The sequence below is a fragment of the Homo sapiens genome, chromosome 1 (genome assembly GCF_000001405.40).
Source record: "Homo sapiens chromosome 1, GRCh38.p14 Primary Assembly".
Taxonomy (NCBI): Eukaryota; Metazoa; Chordata; class Mammalia; order Primates; family Hominidae; genus Homo; species Homo sapiens.
In genome coordinates this window covers 112,472,437-112,492,103 of record NC_000001.11, presented here as the reverse complement: position 1 = coordinate 112,492,103, position 19,667 = coordinate 112,472,437, and the positions used below count along the sequence as shown (strand labels likewise).

Here is a 19,667-nt window from a genome sequence, read left to right as displayed (position 1 = left end):
TTTGTATATATTTTGAAAATGTCTTTTCCTATTCTTTTCTTTCTCTCTTAATTTTATTTACGTGACTTGTCATACATATATGTTTATGGCTTCCAGGTTACTATCTTACTTAGGAAGTTGTTCTCACTCCCATGATGATGAAACTCATATCCTAAATTTTCCCTAATACATTTATGAACATAAATAAAATTATTTTATTGGAAAAAATTTTTTGAGACAAGATCTTGCTCTGTCACCCAGGCAGGAGTACGGTGGCACAATCATGGCTCACTGCAGCCTCAAATTCCCAGGCTCAAGTGATCCTCCCACTTTAGCCTCCTGAGTAGTTAGGACCACAGGTGTGGGCCTCCATACCTAGCTAATTTTTTTATTTTAAAAATTTTCTGTAGAGATGTGGTCTATGTTGAATAGGTTGGTCTTGAACCCCTGAGCTCAAGTAATCTGCCCGCCTTGGCCTCCCAAAGTGCTGGGATTACAGGTATGAGCCACCGCACCTGGCCCTCCCTCCAATCCTTCTAACTCTTTGTGTTTATTTACCATTTTCCCTTGGCCTGAAATGCTCTTCCTGTCTTCTAATTAGCTGATTCCTGCCCTTCTTTCAAGGCCCTATTCCATGTAGTCTTTCCTGAACAGTTCAACATGTTCTTAGCCTCTTCTGAAATGCTATCTGATCTGTTGACTTATTTATTTATTTATTGAGACGGAGTCTTGCTCTGTTGCCCAGGCTGGAGTGCAGTGGTGCAATCTCAGCTCACTGCAACCTCTGCCTCCTGGGTTCAAGCAATTCTCCTGCCTCAGTCTCCCAGTAGCTGGGATTACAGGCGCCCACCACCACGCCCAGCTAATTTTTGTATTTTTGGTAGAGACGGAGTTTCACCATGTTGGCCAGGCTGGTCTCGAACTCTTGCCCTTGTGATCCACCCGCCTCAGCCTCTGAAAGTGCTGGGATTACAGGCACGAGCCACCGTGCAGGCCAATTTATTTTTTATAATTGGTTATCTGACATTTTAATTATCATGTACCTTTGCAAACACTTGTTGAACGCTGACTGTGTAGGTATGCCAGGTACTGCCGTCCTCAAGGATCCTTCAGTCTGGTCGGAAAAGAAAACACAGGCGCAATTTAACATAATAAATGCTATGGATTTTCAGCAGGAAGAGGAGTGATTTGTAGATTTATTTAGGGTAGAGCTATTGGGAATCCAGGGGGGATCTTTCCGGAAGAGGTAAATTTTGGCCTAGACCTTGATAGATGAGTAGGATTTGAAATACAAAAATGGGCATTTTAGTCTTTTCATTAAGAATATGAGTTCTTTGGCCGGGCGCGGGGGCTCACGCCTGTAATCCCAGCACTTTGGGAGGCTGAGGTGGGCAGATCACGAGGTCAGGAGATCGAGACCATCCTGGCTAACACGGTGAAAGCCTGTCTCTACTAAAAATACAAAAAATTAGCCGGGTGTGGTGATGGGCGCCGGTAGTCCCAGCTACTAGGGAGGCTGAGGCAGGAGAATGGCGTGAACCCGGGAGGCGGAGCTTGCAGTGAGCTGAGATCCTGCCTCTGCACTCCAACCTGGGAGACAGAGCGAGACTCCGTCTCAAAAAAAAAAAAAAAGAATATGAGTTCTTTGAGAAAAGTAATTTATTGTTCTCTTATCTCTCTCTCTTTGAGCCCCTTTCTCACTCACACTTGGAAGAACACCTTTGGTACAGGTTACATTGAAAACAGAATCCCTAAGAAGCCTTTCTCTCAGCTTCTCTCTCAGAACGAGGAGGTGATCCCAAGGCCGATTTTCTCTACCTGGATTGTGAATTCCCTCCTCTTCCAAGTCCCCCAGGACCTTTCTCCAACAGTTACTTGTCACTCCAGAGGTTTTTGTTGTCTTTGTACAGCACATGCAGAGAGTCGAGTTAATGCTACTGCTTAGTTCTTAACACTGATCATCATCGACCTGTGCGAGGTGTCTCTCTTGTTTGTTTCTTTATTTCCTGTATCCCATTTCCCACTCTTATTCCTTCCCCTGGTAATAGGCATCCACTCTAATGTAACTGAAATATGCACTTGGATATATATGTATTCTTTTATGTTGTTTGCATGTGTATTTCTAATTTTTAATTTTTATAAATGATATTCTGACATGAAGCTTGTATTAGACTTGCAGCAGTAAGAAAAAAATCCTAAAATTTAAAATCCTAAAAACCAGTAATTGTGGGTGGAGACTGAAGTTCTCTTCCTCCATCTTCTCACTTTAGGATCTGGGCTGAAGGAACATACTGGCGAGGGACATGCTATATTTTCTTGCAAAAGGAATAGTAAAAAAAAAATAGGCAGAATTTGTGATGTTTCTTAAAACTTCAGCTTGAATTGGCATGTGTCACATCTGCTCCCACACATGATAACTAAACTCAACAATGGGATGAGGAAATATATCCATTGCGAGTATTGGCATTGCAAGTTTTATGACAACTGGTAGAAGGGAGTGAATTGCTGGGAATAATGCAATGGACTTTAGACCTCTTTGGGTTTTTTGTTTGTTTGTTTTTGAGACAGAGTCTCCCTCTGTCACCCAGGCTGGAGTGCAATGGCGTGATCTCGGCTCACTGCAGCCTCCACCTCCTGGGTTCAAGTGATTCTCCTGCCTCAGCCTCCCGAGTAGCTGGGATTATAGGTGCCTGCTGCCATGCCCGGCTAATTTTTTTTTTGTATTTTTAGTAGAGATGGGCTTTCACCATGTTGGCCATGCTGGTCTTGAACTCCTGACCTTTTGTAATCTGCCCGCCTCGGCCTCCCAAAGTGCTGGGATTAAAGGTGTGAGCCACTGTGCCTGGCCTTTTTTTTTCTTTTTCTTTTTTTTACACTCTCATGTTAAAAAAAAATCTGTCCTTGTTACTATATAGATGTGCATAGTTCATTCCCTCAAAGTGTTGCACTGTATTCTGTAGTGATAGCCACCACAATTTGCTACCTGTTCTCCCAGTGAACATCTAAGTACCTTGAACCCATGCTATCAAAAATATCAAAAAATGCCTCCGCAAACATCTTCATACCTGACCTTTAAGAGTGCAAATTTATCTGGGATTGCTTGGTTTTAGGATGCACAGATGCTTAATTTCACTGCAATTTACACTCTCACAACAGTGAATGAGAATTCCCATTTGGGAGGCCTAGGTGGGAGGATTGCTTAAGCCCAGAAGTTGGAGACCAGCCTGGGTGACATAGGAAAATCCTGTCTCTAAAAAAACGGTAAATAAAGGGCCAGGCACAGTGGCTCATGCTTGTAATCCCAGCACCTTGGGAGGCCGAGGCAGGCAGATCACGAGGTCAGGAGATCGAGACCATCCTGGTTAACATGGTGAAAACCTGTCTTTATTAAAAATACAAAAAAAAATTAGCCGGGCATGGTGGCGAGCGCCTGTAGTCCCAGCTACTCGGGAGGCTGAGGCAGGAGAATGGTGTGAACCCGGGTGGTGGAGCTTGCAGTGAGCCAGGATCGTGACACTGCACTCCAGCATGGGCGACAGAGCGAGACTCTATCTCAAAAAAAAAAAAAAAACAGTAAGTAAATAAAGAAGGAAGGAGTCTTCCCTTCCATAGTGCAACATCACTAAACACTCTTTAGTTATTTACAGCATTTACAAAACAAGGCAGGTAAGGCAGGTAAGGAAGAAGGCCAATCTAATCAGATAAACAAAGGTTTTGACTGCCTGTCATGTGACTCAGGTGCCATAATCGTGTTCCCTTAAGGCGCAAAATATTTTAGAGTTTGTGTGTGTGTGTGTGTGTGTTTTGTTGTTGTTGTTTGTTTGTTTGAGACAGAGTCTTGCTCTGTCACCCAGGCTGCAATGCAGTGGAGCGATCTCGGCTAACTGCAAACTCTACCTCCCTAGTTCAAATAATTCTCCAGCCTCAGCCTCCCAAATAGCTGGGATTACTAGGCGTGCACCACCCTGCCCAGCTAATTTTTTTATTTTTGGTAGAGACGGAGTTCCACCATGTTGGCCAGGCTGATCTCTTCAAACTTCTGAGCTCCAGTGATTTGCCCGCCTTGGCCTCTCAAAGTGGTGGGATTATGGGCGTGAACTACTGTGCCTGGCCAGATTTTGTTTTTAAAAAATTTTTTATATGAGTCGTCTACCAACAGCTTAGATTTTTTTTTTTTTTTTTTTTTTTTTTGAGTCAGAGCCTCTCTGTGTCACCCAGGCTGGAGTGCAGTGGCGCAATCTCGGCTCATTGCAACCTCTGTCTCCTTGGTTCAAGCAATTCTTGTGCCTCAACCTCCTGACATAGCTGGGTTTACAGGCATGTGCCACCATGCCTGGCTAATTTTTGTAATTTTAGTAGAGACAGGGTTTCACCATGTTGGCCAGGCTGGTCTTGAACTCCTGACCTCAAGCAATCCACCCGCTTCAGCCTCCCAAAGTGTTGGGATTACAGGCGTGAGCTACCACACCCAGCCCAGCTTAGATTTTGAATTACTTATTTCCACAAACTACTTCAATACTTATACTGTTTTTCACTTTAGTATTCAATAAATTACATGAGATATTCAACACTTTATTATAAAATAGGGATTGTGTTAGATGATTTTGTCCAACTGTAGGCTAATGTGTTCTGAGCACATTTAAGGTAGGCTACACTAAGCAATGAGATGTTCAGCAGATTAGGTGTCTTAAATACATTTTTGACATGGTATTTTAAATTTATGATAGGTTTATTAGGAGGTAACCCTGCTATCATAAATTGAGAAGCATCTGTATATATTTCTTATTATATCACACCTTTGTAATCACATTTCTATTCTCTTTGCTCCCTCCCCCAATCCCCAGGCAACCACGAATCTTTTATTTACTGTATCTTATCTTGCATTTATAGAATTTTAAATAAACAGAATCATATAGTGTGTATTGATTTTAAATGTCTTCTTTCACTAGCATAATTGAGATTCATTCATGTAGCTGCATTCTTTTTATTGTTGAATAGTATTCCATTGTATGGATATATCACAGTTTACTTATCTATTCACTTGTTGATGGCTATTTGGGTAATTACAAGTTTTTGGCTTTGACATGTAAAACTGTTATGAACATTATTTTACAACCTTTGCATAGAATATACCCTCATTTCTTTTGAGTAAATACCTAGGCATGGGATAACTGAATCATGTGGCAGGTTAATGTATGTTTTCTAAAGAAACTATCGAAATATGTTCCAAAGTTGTTGTATCATTTATACTCCCATTTGCAGTTCTAGTTGCTCTACATTCTCGTCAACACATAATATAAAAAGTTCTTTTAATTTTAGGCTTTCTAGTAGGTATGTATTGCTATCTCATTGTGGTTTTAATTTGCATTTCCCTAATGACTAATGATCTTTTCATTTGCCTACTGTATGTCTTTTTTGAAGTTTCTAGTAAAATATTTCCCCTATTTTTATTGGGTTTTTTTTTTCTTATTAACTTTAGAAAGTTCTTCATATGTTCTGGATATAAGTCTTTTATTAAATGTGTGATTTGAAAGTATATTCTCCTAGTTAATGGCTTGTCTTTTCATTCTTTTAATAATGTTTTTGAACAGCAGAAGTTTTAAATTTTGATAAAGTCCAATTTATCAATTGGTTCTTTATGGGTAGTGCTTTTGGTATGTTCTTTTGTTTTGTTTTGTTTTTGAGACAGGGTCTGGCTCTGTTGCCCAGGATGGAGTGCAGTGGTGTGACCTTGGCTCATTGCAACCATTGCCTCTGAAGCTCAAGCCAACCTCCCACATCAGACTCCTGAATAACTGGGACTACAGGCACTTAACACCATGCCCAACTAATTAAAAATTTTTTTGTAGAGATGGGGTCTCGCTATGTTGCCCAGGCTGGCCTCAAACTGCTGAGCTCAAGGGATCCACCTGCCTTGGCCTCCCAAAGTGCTAGGATTACAGGCATGAGCCACAGCACCCAGCCTGGTGTGTGTGTGTGTGTGTGTGTGTGTTAAAAACTCATTATCTTGCCCAGGCTGGTCTTGAACTCCTGGGCTCAAGCAATCCTCCCAGCCTTCCAGTAGCTGGTGTTTTATCAAATCAAACCCAACAATATATAAAAAGATAATACATAAATGACCAATTGGGTTTATGGAAGGAATGCATAAATGGTTTAATATTTGAAAATCAATCAATGTATTTCACCATATTAACAAGTCAAAAAATCCCATATGATCATGTCAATGAATTCAGAAAAAGTAGCTGGGATTAGAGGCACATGCCACTGGGCCTGGCTGCTTTTGGTATATTAAGAGAAATCTTTACCTAACCCAAGGTTACAAAGATTTTCTGTTACATTTTCTTCTAGAAGTTTTACAGTTTTTTTAGGTTTTACATTTAGGTCGAAAATATATCTTCAGTTAATTTTTGTATATGGTGTGATGTATGGATCAAAGCTTAGTTTTTGCATATAGATATCCAGTTGTTTCAGTACCATTTATTGAAAAGATTACGCTTTCTCCATTGAATTGCATTTGCACCTTTGTCAAAAAATAAACTAAGCACATATTTGAGAGACTGTTTCTGGACTCTTCATTCTGTTTGATTGATATGGTGATATAGTTCTTTATTTCTATTCCAATAAAACGTAGTCTTCATGACCATAACCTTTTTTTTTTTTTTTTGAGACAGAGTCTCACTTTGTCGCCCAGGCTGGAGTGCAGTGGCACAATCTTGGCTCACTGCAACCTCTGCCTCCTGGGTTCAAGCAATCCTCGTGCCTCAGCCTCCTGTGTACCTGGGATTACAGGCACCTGTCACCATGCCTGGTTAATTTTTGTATTTTTAGTAGACACGGGGTTTTGACATGTTGGGCAGGCTGGTCTCAAACTCCTGACCTCAGGTGATCTGCCAGCATTGGCCTCCCAAAGTGCTGGGATTACAGGCATGAGCCATCATGCCCCCAGGCCTGACGACTATAACTTTATAAAAAGCTTTGAAGTTAGATAGTGACATTTTCTAATTTGTTTTTATTATTCAAAGTTGTTTTGGTTATGTTAGGTCCTTTGCATTTCCATACAAATTTTAGAGTTAACTTGTCAATTTCTACAAAAAAGCCTGTTGGAATTTTCACTGGGATTGCATTAAATCTATATATGAATTATTTGGAGAGCACTGAATTCATAGCCATATTGTCTTCTGATTTATAAACACAGTATATCTCTCCATTTATTTAGAACTTCAATTTGTCTTAGCAATGACTTGTAGTTTTTGTGTATAAGTCTTGCACATCTCCTGTCAGATATCTTTACATTTAGTATTTTTGATGCTATTATAAATAGTATTATTTATTAATTTCTACTTCCATTGCTAATATAAAGAAATAAACCTTTTTTTTTTTTTCAAGAGGGAGTCTTGCTCTGTCACCCAGGCTGGAGTTGCAGCCTGAACTCCTGGTCTCAAGCAATCCTCCCACCTCAGCCTTCTGAGTAGCTAGGACTACAGGCACATGCCAGGCATGGAGTTTGGTGATTTAAAAAATTTAAATTTAAATTTAAAAAATTTTGGGGGCCAGGCACAGTGGCTCACACCTGTAATCCCAGCACTTTGGGAGGCCCAGGTAGATGAATCACTTGAGTCCAGGAGTTTGAGACCAGTCTAGGCAATGTAGTGAAACCTTGTCTCTACAAAAACAAAAACAAAAAAAAAATTAGCCACTCAGGAGGCTGAGGCAGGAGGATCATTTGAGCCTGGGAAGTAGAGGTTGCAGTGAGCTGAGACTGCACCACCAACTCCAGCCTGGGTGACAAGTGAGACCCTCTTCTCTCTCTCTCTCTCTATATATATGTGTGTGTATATATATATATATATATGTGTATATATATATGTGTATATATATGTGTATATATATGTGTATATATATATGTGTATATATATATAAAATTTTTGGAGACAAAATTATATATAAAAATGATATATATAATTTATTATATAAATTATTATATAAAATTGTTAAAATTATTATATAAAATTATATATATATAATTTTTGGAGACAAAGTCTCACTATGTTGCTCAGGTTCGTCTTGAACTCCAGGGCTCAAGTGATCCTCCCACCTCAGTCTCCTGAATAGCTGAAATTATAAGCGCAAGCCACCATACCTGGCTTTTGTCTTTTTGATAATACTAATTCTAACAGGTGTGAGGTGACATTTCATTTGATTTGCATTTCTCCGATGATTTCATATACTTATTGGCCATCTGTATGCCTTCTTTTGGGAAATGTCTATTCAGGTCCTTTGCTCATTTTAAAGTAGGGTTATTTATTTATTTTTTAAATTTATTCTCTCTTTCTTTTTTTTTTTTTGTTATTCAGTTGTATGAGTTCCTTATATATTTTAAATGTTAACCTCTTATCAGATACATAGTTTGAAAATATTTTCTCCCATTCCTTAGACTGCCTTTTTTCTCTGTTGTTTCCTTTGCTGTGCAGAAGCTTTTTAGTTTGATGCAGTCTCATTTGTCTATTTTTGCTTCTGTTGCTTGTGCTTTTTGTGTCACATCAAAAAAAAAATCATTTCCCAGGCCAATATCAAGAAAATGTTCCCCTATGTTTTCTTCTAGGAGTTTTATGGTTTTAGCTTTTAAGCTTAGATCTGTAATCCTTTTTGAGTTGATTTTTGTATATAGTGTGAGACATGGATCCAATTTCATCCTTCTGCATTTGTATATCCAGTTTTTCCAACACTATCAAGGAGATGATCCTTTTCCAATTGTGTGTTATTGGCATCCTTGTTGAAGATCAGTTGACTATAGATGCATGGATTTGTTTCTGGGAGCTCTATTCTGTCCCTTTGCTCTATATATTGTTTTTATGCAAGTACCATACTGTTTTCATTACTATAATGTGTGTGTGTGTGTATATGTGTGTGTGTGTGTGTGTGTGTGTGTGTGTGTGTGTGTGTATCTATGTTGCCCAGGCTAGAGTGCAGTGGCTATTCACAGGTGCAATCATAGCACACTGCAGCCTCAAACTCCTAGGCTGAAGCATCCTCCTGCCTCAGACTCCACTCCCAGGTAGCTGGGACTACCCTGTATCTGGCTATAATACATTTCAAAATTGGGAAGTGTGATTAATCCAGCTTTGTTCTTGCTCAAGATTGCTTTGGACATTCTAGGTCTTTTGTCATCCCATGTGAATTTTAGGATTCTATTGTCTATTTCTGTAAAGAATACCATTGGGATTTTGATAGGGATGGCGTTAAATCTGTAGATCACTTTGGGTAGTATGAACATTTTACCAATATTTTTTCAATCTATGGACATGCGATATCTTTTTCATTTATCTATAATGTTATTTAATTTCCTTCAATGTTTTATAATTTTAGTGTACAAGTCTTTTTGGCTAAGTTTATTCCTCAATATTTTATTCTTTTTGTTGCTAATGGGAATGGGATTGTTTCCTTAATTTTCTTTCTGACTACTTTGCTGTTTGTGTCTAGAAATGTGACTAGGGCTGGGCATGGTGGCTCATGCCTGTAATTCCAGTGCTTTCGGAGGCTGAGGCAGGAGGATTGCTTGAGGCCAGGAGTTTGAGACTAGCCTGGGCAACATAGCAAGACCCTGTCTTTACAAAAAGATAAAATTAGTGGGGCTGGTGGCATGTGCCTGTAGTCCCAGATTATCAGTAGGCTGAGGCAGGACGATTGCTTGAGTCCAGAAGTTTAAGACTACAGTGAGCTATGATAACATCACTGCACTGCAGCCTGGGTGACAGAGCAAGGCTCTGTCTCAAAATTTTTTTATGTGATTATTATTATTATTTTTTGACACAGGGTCTTGTTCTGTCATCCAGGTTGGAGTGTAGTAGCACAATCACGACTCACTGCAGCCTTGACCTCTCGGGTTCAAACTATTCTCCCACATCAGCCTCCCAAATAGTTGGAACCACAGGCATGCACCACCGTTTAAATTAGCCTGGCTAATTTTTTTTTTTTTTTGAGATGGAGTTTTCACTCTTGTTGCCCAGGCTGGAGTGCAATGCACAATCTCAACTCACTGCAACCTCTGCCTCCCAGGTTCAAGCAATTCTCCTGCCTCAGACTCCCAAGTAGCTGGGATTACAGGCATGCACCACTGTACCAGGTTAATCTTTTGTATTTAGTAGAGATGGGGTTTCACCATGTTGGCCAGGCTGGTCTCAAACTCCTGACCTCAAGTGATCTGCCCGCCTCTGCCTCCCAAGGTGCTGGGATTACAGACGTGAGCCACCATGCCCGACTAATTTAAAAAAATTTTTGTAGATATGGGGGTCTCCTTATGTTGCCCAGGCTGGTCTTGAATCCTGGACTCAAGCAATTCTCTTGACCTGGCCTCCCAAAGTGCTAGGCTTATGGGCATGAGCCACCACGCCTGGCCTGATTAATTTTTTTATGTTGATTTTTGTACCCTGCAAATTTACTGAATTCATTTATTAGTTCTAACAGTTTTTTCATTGAGTCTTCTGTGTTTTCTATGTACATGATCACACCATCTGCAAAGAAGGATAAGTTTACTTCTTTTTTGTTTGGATGGCTTTTTCTTGTCTCATTGCTCTGGCTAGGACTTCTAGTACTATGTTGAAAAGAAGGTGAAAGTGGGCATCCTTGCCTTGTACCAGATCTTAGAAGGAAAGCTTGTAGTTTTTCCCCATTGGTTATGATATTAGCTGTGGACTTTTCATAATGGCCTTTATTATTTTAGGGTAAGTTTCTTCTGTACCTCTTTTGTTGAGAGTCATGAATAGATATTGTACTTTGCCAAACGTTTTTTCTGCATCTATTGAGATAATCACATTTTTTCTTTAGCTAATATGTTGTATCACATTGATTGATTTTCATACGTTGAACCATACTTGCATTCCAGGGATAATAAAACAAATGAACAAATAAATAAGCAAATTGCACTTGCTCAGGGTGTATAATTTTTTTTTTTTTTTGAGACGAAATTTTGCTCTTGTTGCCCAGGCTGGAGTGCAGTGGCGCGATCTCGGCTCACTGCAACCTTTGCCTCCCAGGTTCAAGCAATTCTCCTGCCTCAGCCTCCTGAGTAGCTCGGATTACAGGCACCTGCCAACATGCCCAGCTAATTTTTGTATTTTTAGTAGAGACGGGGTTTCTCCATGTTGGTCAGGCTGATCTTGATCTCCCGACCTCAGGTGATCCATCCACCTCGGCCTCCCAAAGTGCTGGGATTACAGGTGTGAGCCACCATGCCCGGCCTATGGTGTATAATTTTTATAATGTGCTGTTGAATTAGTTTTGCTAGTATTTCATTGAGGGTTTTTACATCTAAGTTAATCAGGTATATTGGCCTGAGGTTTTCTTTTCTCGGAGTATCTTTGTCTGGTTTTGGTATCAGGGTAATTTTGGCCTTGCAGAATAACTTCTGAAGTGTTCCCTTTTCTTCTATTTTTCACAAGAGTTTAAGAAAGATTAGGTGTTCATTCTTTTTAAAATGCTTGGTAGAATTCACCTATGAAGCCATCTGGTTCTGGGCTTTCTTTTTTGGGAGATTTTTTGAGTACTGATTCAGTTGCCTTATTTTTTATTGGTCTGTTCAGGCTTTCTATTTTTTGCTTCAGTTTTGGTAGGTTGTATGTTTCTAGAAATTTATCCATTTCTTCTAGGTGATCCTGTTTGTTCCTGTTTGTTGGCATGTAATTGTTCATAATAGTCCTTTATACATCTTTTTGTTTCTGTGGTATCGGTTGTACTGTCTTCTCTTTTTTTTTTTTTTTTTTGAGACGGAGTCTTACTCTGTCACCCAGGCTGAGTGCAGTGGTGTGATATTGACTGGCTGCAACTTCCACCTCCCAAGTTCACGTGATTCTCCTGCCTCAGCCTCCCAAGTAACTGGCATTATAAGTGCCTGCCACCACGCCTGGCTAATTTTTGTATTTTTAGTAGAGATAGGATTTCACCATGTTGGCAAGGCTGGTCTTGAACTCCTGACCTCAGACCTCAAGTGATCTGCCCATCTTGGCCTCCCAAAGTGCTGGGATTACAGGCATGAGCCACTGTGCCCAACCATAGGTCTTTTCTTTATGGTTAGCTTGGAGTTGTAACTTATTTTTAGTTGATAACAACTTAACTTCAGCTGGGTGCAGTGGCTCACGTCTGTAATCCCAGCACTTTGGGAGGCTGAGGCAGGCAGATCACGAGGTCAGGAGATTGAGACCATCCTGGCTAACACCGTGAAACCCCGTCTCTACTAAAAAAATACAGAAAATTAGTCGGGCATGGTAGCAGGTGCCTGTAGTCCCAGCTACTTGGGAGGCTGAGGCAGGAGAATGGTGTGAACCCAGGAGGCAGAGCTTGCAGTGAGCAGAGATGCGACACTGCGCTCCAGCCTGGGAGACAGAGCGAGACCCCGTCTCAAAAATAAAACAACAACAACAAAAAAACTTAACTTCAATTGCTTACAAAAACACTAGACTTTTACTCTCCATCCCTGCACCCCTGCACACTTTGTGATCTTGTTGGCTGCTGGCTTGTTTTTATACTGTATATCCATTAGAAAAAAAATTTTTTTTAAAATGGAGTCTCACTCTGTCTCCCAGGCTGGAGTGCAGTGGTGTGATCTTGGCTCACTGCAACTTCTGTCTCCCAGGTTCCAGCGATTCTCCTGCCTCAGCCTCCCAAGTAGCTGGGATTACAGGTGCCTGCCACCACAACCGGCTAATTTTTGTATTTTTAGTAGAGACGGGGTTTCACCATGTTGGCCAGGCTGGTCTCAAACTCCTGACCTCAGGTGATCAGCCCGTCTCGGCCTCTCAAAATGCTGAGATTATAGGCATGAGCCCCCACGCCCAGCCCCTGCAAATTTTTGTCTTATGTTTTGTTTAATCTTATTTGTAGTTTTATTTTTATTTATTTATTTATTTTGAGACAGAGTTTCACTCTTGTCACCCAGGCTGGAGTGCAATGGTGCAATTTCAGCTCACTGCAACCTCTACCTCCTTGGTTCAAGCGATTCTCCTGCCTCAGCCTCCTGAGTAGCTGGGATTACAGGCATGTACCACTACGCCCAGCTAATTTTTGTATTTTTAGTAGAGACAAGGTTTCACCATGTTGGTCTGGCTGGTCTCAAACTCCTGACCTGAGGGGATCCGCCCACCTTGGCCTCCCAACGTACTGGGATACAGGTATCAGCCACTGCGCCCAGCCCTTTAGTTTTATTTTTATAGACAGAATCTTGCTCTGTTGCCCAAGCTAGAGTGCTGTGGTGTGATCATGCCTCACTGCAACTTCAAACACCTCTGCTCAAGCAAGCCTCCTGCCTCAGCCTCCCTGGTATCTGGGACTACAGGAGTGTGTCACCACACCTGGCTAATTTTTAAATTTTTTTTGTGGAGATGAGGTTTTGCCATGTTGCCCAGGCTGGTCTCAAACTCCTAGGTTTAAGTGATCCTTCCACCTCAGCCTTCCAAAATGCTGGGGTTACAGGTGTGAGCCACCATGCCCAGCCTCTCCTTCATTTTTAAAGGAAAATTTTTCTAGGAATAGTATTCTTAAATGGCATTTTTTTTTCTTTCAGTACTTGGGTTATATCACCCTATTTTCTCCTGGTCAGCAAGTTTTCTTCTGAGAAATCTTCCAATAGTCCCATCGAGTCTCCCTTATATGTGATCAGTTACTTTTCTCTTACTGCTTTCAAAATTCTCTTTGTCCTTAACTTTTGGTAATTTGATTATAATATGCCTTGATGTAGTCTTCTTTGGGTTGATTCTATTTGGGGGCTATTTGGTATCATGAATCTGGATGTCTATATCTCTCTCAAGATTTGGGAAGTTTTTAGCCTTTATTATTTTTTTTTAATAAGCTTTCTGCCCTCTCTCCTACTTTTTCTTTTTTATTTTCTCTCTCTCTCTTTGAGACAGCATCTTGCTTTGTTGCCCAGGCTGGAGTGCAGTGGTGCAATCACAGCTCATTGCAGCCTTGACCTCCTGGGTGCAAGTGATCCTCCTAACTCAGCCTCCTGAGTTGTGGAGACCACAGGCATGCACCATCACACCCAGCTAATTTTTACATTTTTTGTACAGACCAGGTCTCACTATGTTGCCCAGGCTGGTCTTGAACTCCTGGGCTCAAGTGATCCTCCTGCCTTGGCCTCCCAATGTGCTAGGGTTACAGGCATGAGCTACAGTGCTCAGCCACTCTTCTGGTTTTGGAACTCCCAAATACATATATTGATTTCAGTGATGGTATTCCATAAATCCCATAGGCTTTCTTTACTGTTTTCCATTCTTTTTTCTCTTTTGTCTGCTGACTAGATAATTTCAAATGATGTGTCTTCAGGTTCACAGATTTTTTTTTAAAATTATTTTGCTTGATCAAGTCTGCTGTTGAAATTCTCTATTGTATTTTCAATTTCATTCATTGTATTCTTCAACTCCATAATTTGTTTGGTTATTTTAAAATGATTTCTATCTCTTTCTTGAACTTTTAATCTGTTCTTGTATTGCTTTTCTGGTTTCACTGAATTCCCAGTGTCTTCTTGTAGCCACCAAGCTTCCTTAAACAATTATTTTGAATTATTCTTTAGGTAGTTCATAGATCTCTATTTCTTTGGGGTTAATTACTGAAAAATTATTGTGTTCCTTTGGCGGTGTAATATTTCCTTGATTTTTTTATGTTTCTTTAGCCTTGTAGTGATGTCTGCATGTTTGAAGTAATAGCCACCTCTTCCAGACTGTATGGACTCATTTCAATAGGGAAAGACCATTTATAAGTGGGCATGAAGATGCTGTCTGAGTTGGGTGTGGTGGTTCTAGCTCTGGGAAGCCACAGCATCAGCTCCAACTCCATGGTGGGTACAGCAGCATACTCTCTATAAAGCTCCATCAGCTGAGATCAGCATGGCCAATGGCTCTGGAGGCCCTCAGCAGCCAAGGCTGTGGGTGTACACAGCAGCAGAAAAAGTTGCTTGGGTACTCTAAATATAAAGACATGTATAGGGTAAATTATTATTGACTACCCCACCCAAATGCAACAGCAAAGGCTGCTGGCATTTTCCTGTTCTCTTATTCCTGCTTGGGGGAACTTCACAGCTGATGGGATCCCTTTTTGTGCCAGATCCACAGTGCAGGTGTGCTCATGTTGGTAGTGGTGCTGGTATTTGATGCTTGGTTGCACACAGAACAGCCATGGCTCTATGATCTGGGGTACAGGTGTGCCCATGGCAGTGGTGGTGCCAGTGTCAGAAGTGTCCATCATACATGTAGCAGCCTTGGCTCTGGGGTCTAGAGCATACATGCAATTGTGAGACGGTGAGTTGGTAATCTTGGCCACTGGGGACACAGCAGCTTCTTCTCCAGGGGGACACAGCAGCATGGACCCTGGAAAGCTCTGTCAGTTGAGATCATCACTGGTGGAAACTGCAGGGGTCCTCAGTGGTAAAAGTGGTCAATGTTTGCATTGGTGGCAAAGGATGCTGGGGTCCTCCTGCTCTACTTTTCTCCCACAGGTGGAGGTTGTGGGTTGTGTCCAGGAGATGCCTCTTGGTGCAAAGCTGTGCTTGGACTGGGGGATGGGGTGGAGTAGGTAGGATACTTTCTGTATTTTTTAATATGGCTATCTTGGTTTGTGTGGTCCTTTGGGTTGCTGCAAGTTTTTCATTGTACTCTGCAGCTCTCCCAGAGCTATTTTGGTTGGTATGTAGTTGTTTATTCGTTGTTTTTCTCAGTGGGGGATGGGCATTACCTTCTCATCCACCATCTTGGTGATGTCATTTGAACTTCTATTTGCTTAACTGATTTTATATCTTTCTTCTTTTTTAATATAGGCATTTAGTGTTATAAATTTCTCTTTAAGTACTCAATCTGTGTCCCATAAATATTGATATGTTACATCTTCCTTTTCATTCAGTTCAAATTATTTTCTAATTTCTCCTTTAATTTCCTTTGACCCATGGGTTATTTGGTAGTGTGTTATTTTCCAAATATTTAGGGATATCCCAGAAACCCGCATTTTATTTACTCTAATTGAATTCCATTGTGGCCAGAGAACATAATTTGCATGATTTAGATCTTTTAAAATGTATTGAGACTTTTCAGTAGCCAAAAATATTGTCTATCATTGTAAATGTTCTATGTGTGCATTAAAAAATAATATGTATTCTGTTGCATTTGGGTGGGGTAGTCAATAATAATTTACCCTATACATGTCTTTATATTTATATTGGATTTCTTGTGGGCAGCATATTTTTGAGTGTTTGTCTTTAAAATACAATTGGACAATCTCTGCCTTTAATTGAGTTGTTTAGGCTATTTAAATTGTAAGCGATTATTCATATAGTTAGCTTAAATCAATAATGTTATTTTTCTACCATAGGTTCTTTGTTCTTCTTTCCTTCTTATAGATTATTTTTATGATTCTATTTTTATCTTCTTTGTTGCCTTATTAGTTTTGTTTTGCTTTTTTTCATGGTTGCTTTATGGCTCATTGTGTACATCTTTAACTTATTGTGGTCTAGCTTCATGTGATATTATGCCGATGAATTTACAGAATAAGAATCTTACTACAGTATATTTCCATTTCTCTTCCCTCAGCGTTTGTGCTATCATTGTCATACATTTTATTTCTACATATGTGAAAAAGCCCACAATACACTGTGATAACTCTTTAGAGAGATTTAAATATTTAAAGAAAAGTTATTGTTCTTTAAATCTCTTTAAAATGGGTAAGTCTTTCATATTTACCCATATGCCTACCATTTTTTGATGCTCATCATTCCTTTGTATAGATGCAGATTTGTTATTAGTTTTATTTTGCCTGAACTACTTCCTTTAGTATTTCTTGTACTGCAGTTCTGCTGATGAGGAATTCTTTCATCATGTGCATGTTTGAGAAATATCTTTATTTTGCTTTTTGTGTGTGTGGGCAAATCTCACTTTAATTGCTAATGATTTTATTTATAGCACACCCAATAATGAACCAAGAGGAGAGATGATGACTCTCACACATCAAGGAAAGCAATCTGTATTAGTTCATTCTTGTATTGCTGTACAGAAGTACCTGAGACTGGGTAATTTATAATGAAAAGAGGTTTAACTGTCTCATGGTTCTGTTGGCTGTACAGGAAGCATGATGCTAGCATCTGCTCCCTTTCTGGGGAGGCCTCAGGAAACTTAACAATTATGGTGGAAAGTGAAGGGGTAGCAGGCACATCACATGGCCAAAGCAGGAGCAAGAGAGAGAGCTGGGTGTGTGTGTGGGGGATTGCTACACACTTTTAAACAACCAGATCTCTCAAGAACTTACTCATTATCATGAGAACAGCACCAAGGGTGCTAAACTATTCATGAAGGATCCATGCTCATGATCCAATCACCTCCCACCAGACTCCACCTCCAACATTGGAGATCACAATTCGACATGAGATTTGGGTGGGGATACAGATTGAAACCATAACACGATCCTCATTTTTCTGAACGGTGTTTCACATTTTAAAAAGTGACTATCGCCATTGTTTTTGAAAGGTATTTTCACTGGGTTTAGAATTCTAGGTTGACAGTTTTTTTCCTCAGTAGTCTACCACTAACTGCTCCACTGTCTTCAGGATTGTGTCATTACTAATGAGAAATCTCATGTTCTTTTATGTTTGTTCATCTGTATGTAATAGCTTTTTTTCCTCTGGTTGTTTTAAAAGTGTTCTCTTGGCCAGGCATGGTGGCTTACGCCTGTAATCCCAGCCCTTTGGGAGGCGGAGGCAGGCAGATCACGAGGTCAGGAGATTGAGACCATCCTGGCTAACGCGGTGAAACCCCGTCTCCACTAAAAATACAAAAAAAAATCAGTCAGATGTGGTGGCTCACACCTGTAGTCCCAGCTACTTGGGAGGCTGAGGCAGGAGAATCGCTTGAACCCGGGAGGCGGAGGTTGCAGTGAGTCGAGATTGTGCCACCACACTCCAGCCTGGGCGACAGAGTGAAAATCCATCTCAAAAAATAAAAATAAAAAAGCATTCTCTTTATCATAGGTTTTAGGCTTTTTGATTATGATGTTTCTTTTTCTTTTTCTTTCTTTTTTTTTTTTTTTTTTGAGACAGAGTCTCTCTCTGTCACCCAGGCCGGAGTGCAGTGGCCCTATCTTGGCTCACTGCAAGCTCTGCCTCCTGGGTTCATGCCATTCTCCTGCCTCAGCTTCCCGAGTAGCTGGGACTACAACTGCCTGCCACCACGCCCGGCTAATTTTTTTTTTTTTTTGTATTTTTAGTAGAGATGGGGTTTCACTGTGTTAGCCAGGATAATCTCGATCTCCTGACCTCATGATCCACCCGCCTCGGCCTCCCAAAGTGCTGGGATTACAGGCATGAGCCACTATGCCCAGCCGATTATGATGTTTCTTGTTGCAGTTTCCTTCATGTTTCTTATGCTTATATTTATTGGCTTTTTTTGTATCTGTGAATTTATTATTTTCATCAAATTTGGAAAATCTTGGCTATTGTTTGTTCAAATATTTTTCTTTGGGGATGCCGATTAAACTTACATTAGGTCACCTGAATGTGACCCAAAGCTCACTGATGCTTTGTTCATTAAAAAAAATTTCTTATGCTCTGTGTTTTATTATGGATTGCTTTTATTAATATTTCTTCATATTTAATAATCATTTCTTCCACAATGTGTAATCTGTTGCTAATCTCATCCATTTTTTTTTAATCTCAGATACTGGGATTTTCATCTCTAGAAGTTTGATTTTAGTTTTTCTGCATCTTTCATGTCTCTAGTTACCAAACTCAATCTTTTCCCTATCTCCTTGAATATACAGTACAGTTATAATAGCTATTTTAATGTAATTGTCTGCTATTTCTGTCATTGTGTTATTTTGACCAGCCTGCCTTCCCTCTCTCCCTCCCTCCCTCTTTTCCTTCCTTCCTTCCTTCCTTTCCTCTCCCTCCCTCCTTCCCTCCCTCTCTCCTGTCCCTCCCGCCCTCCCTTCCTCTCTTTCTTTTCCTTCCTTCCTTCTTCTTTCTTTCTCTTTTTTCTTTCTTTTTTCCCTTCCTTCCTTCCTCCTTCCGTGTTTCTTTCTTTCTTTTTCTTCCTTTCCTTTTTCTTTCCTCTCCCTCTCCCTTTCTCCCTCCTTCCCTCTCTCTCTCTCCCCTTCCCTCCCCTCCCTCCCTCTCTCTTTCTCTTTCTCTCCTTTTTTTTTTTAGTATTGCTTTGTTGCCCAGGCTAGAGTGCAGTGGCATGATCACAACTCACGGCAGCATCAATCTCCCAAGCTCAAGTGATCCTCCCACCTCAGCCTCCTGAGTAGCTGGGACTCCTGGCACACACCACCACACCCAGCTAAATTTTGTATTTTTTGTAGAGACAAGGTTTCTCCATGTTGCCCACCCTGAAGTAATTTTCAAGGATTGAGTTTTCTTCTAATTATTTGCCATATTTTTCTACTTCTTTGTAATTTTTTATTGGATGCCAGACATTGTGATTTTTACCTTTTGACTGCTGGACATTTTTGTTTTCCTATACATATTCTTGAGCTTTATTCTGAGACATAGTTATTTAGAAACAGTTTTATCCTTTTGAGTCTTTTTTTTTTTTTTTCATTGGTTGGGGGTTGGTGGGAACAGAGCATCATTTATTCTAGGGCTTATTTTGGCCCACTATAGAGACAAAACTCTGAAGACTCTTTGAATGTGCTGCAAATTATGAGATTTTTCATTTTTC

The 19,667-nt window shown here is 40.3% G+C and overlaps 1 protein-coding gene across 2 annotated transcripts in view, besides 1 other annotated feature; it reads right to left on the bottom strand.

Annotated features, from left to right (window-relative positions):
• The window catches only part of WNT2B (Wnt family member 2B), a 63,625-nt gene that overhangs the window by 38,062 nt on the left and 5,896 nt on the right, over positions 1–19,667 (bottom strand). The window contains exon 2 of one of the 2 annotated variants that reach the window (NM_004185.4): positions 1,023–1,093. The exons of the other annotated variant lie outside the window; for it this stretch is intronic. Within the exon in view, the coding sequence (NP_004176.2) occupies positions 1,023–1,093 (71 nt within the window). The remainder of the gene's footprint in view (positions 1–1,022; positions 1,094–19,667) is intronic. 2 annotated transcript variants of the gene reach the window in all.
• Positions 14,291–14,491: a silencer, noted in NCBI's record as "peak369 fragment used in MPRA reporter construct". NCBI's record gives its function as "represses an SCP1 promoter by STARR-seq MPRAs in K562 erythroleukemia cells {active_cell/tissue: K562}" and the evidence as "EXISTENCE:reporter gene assay evidence [ECO:0000049][PMID:32103011]".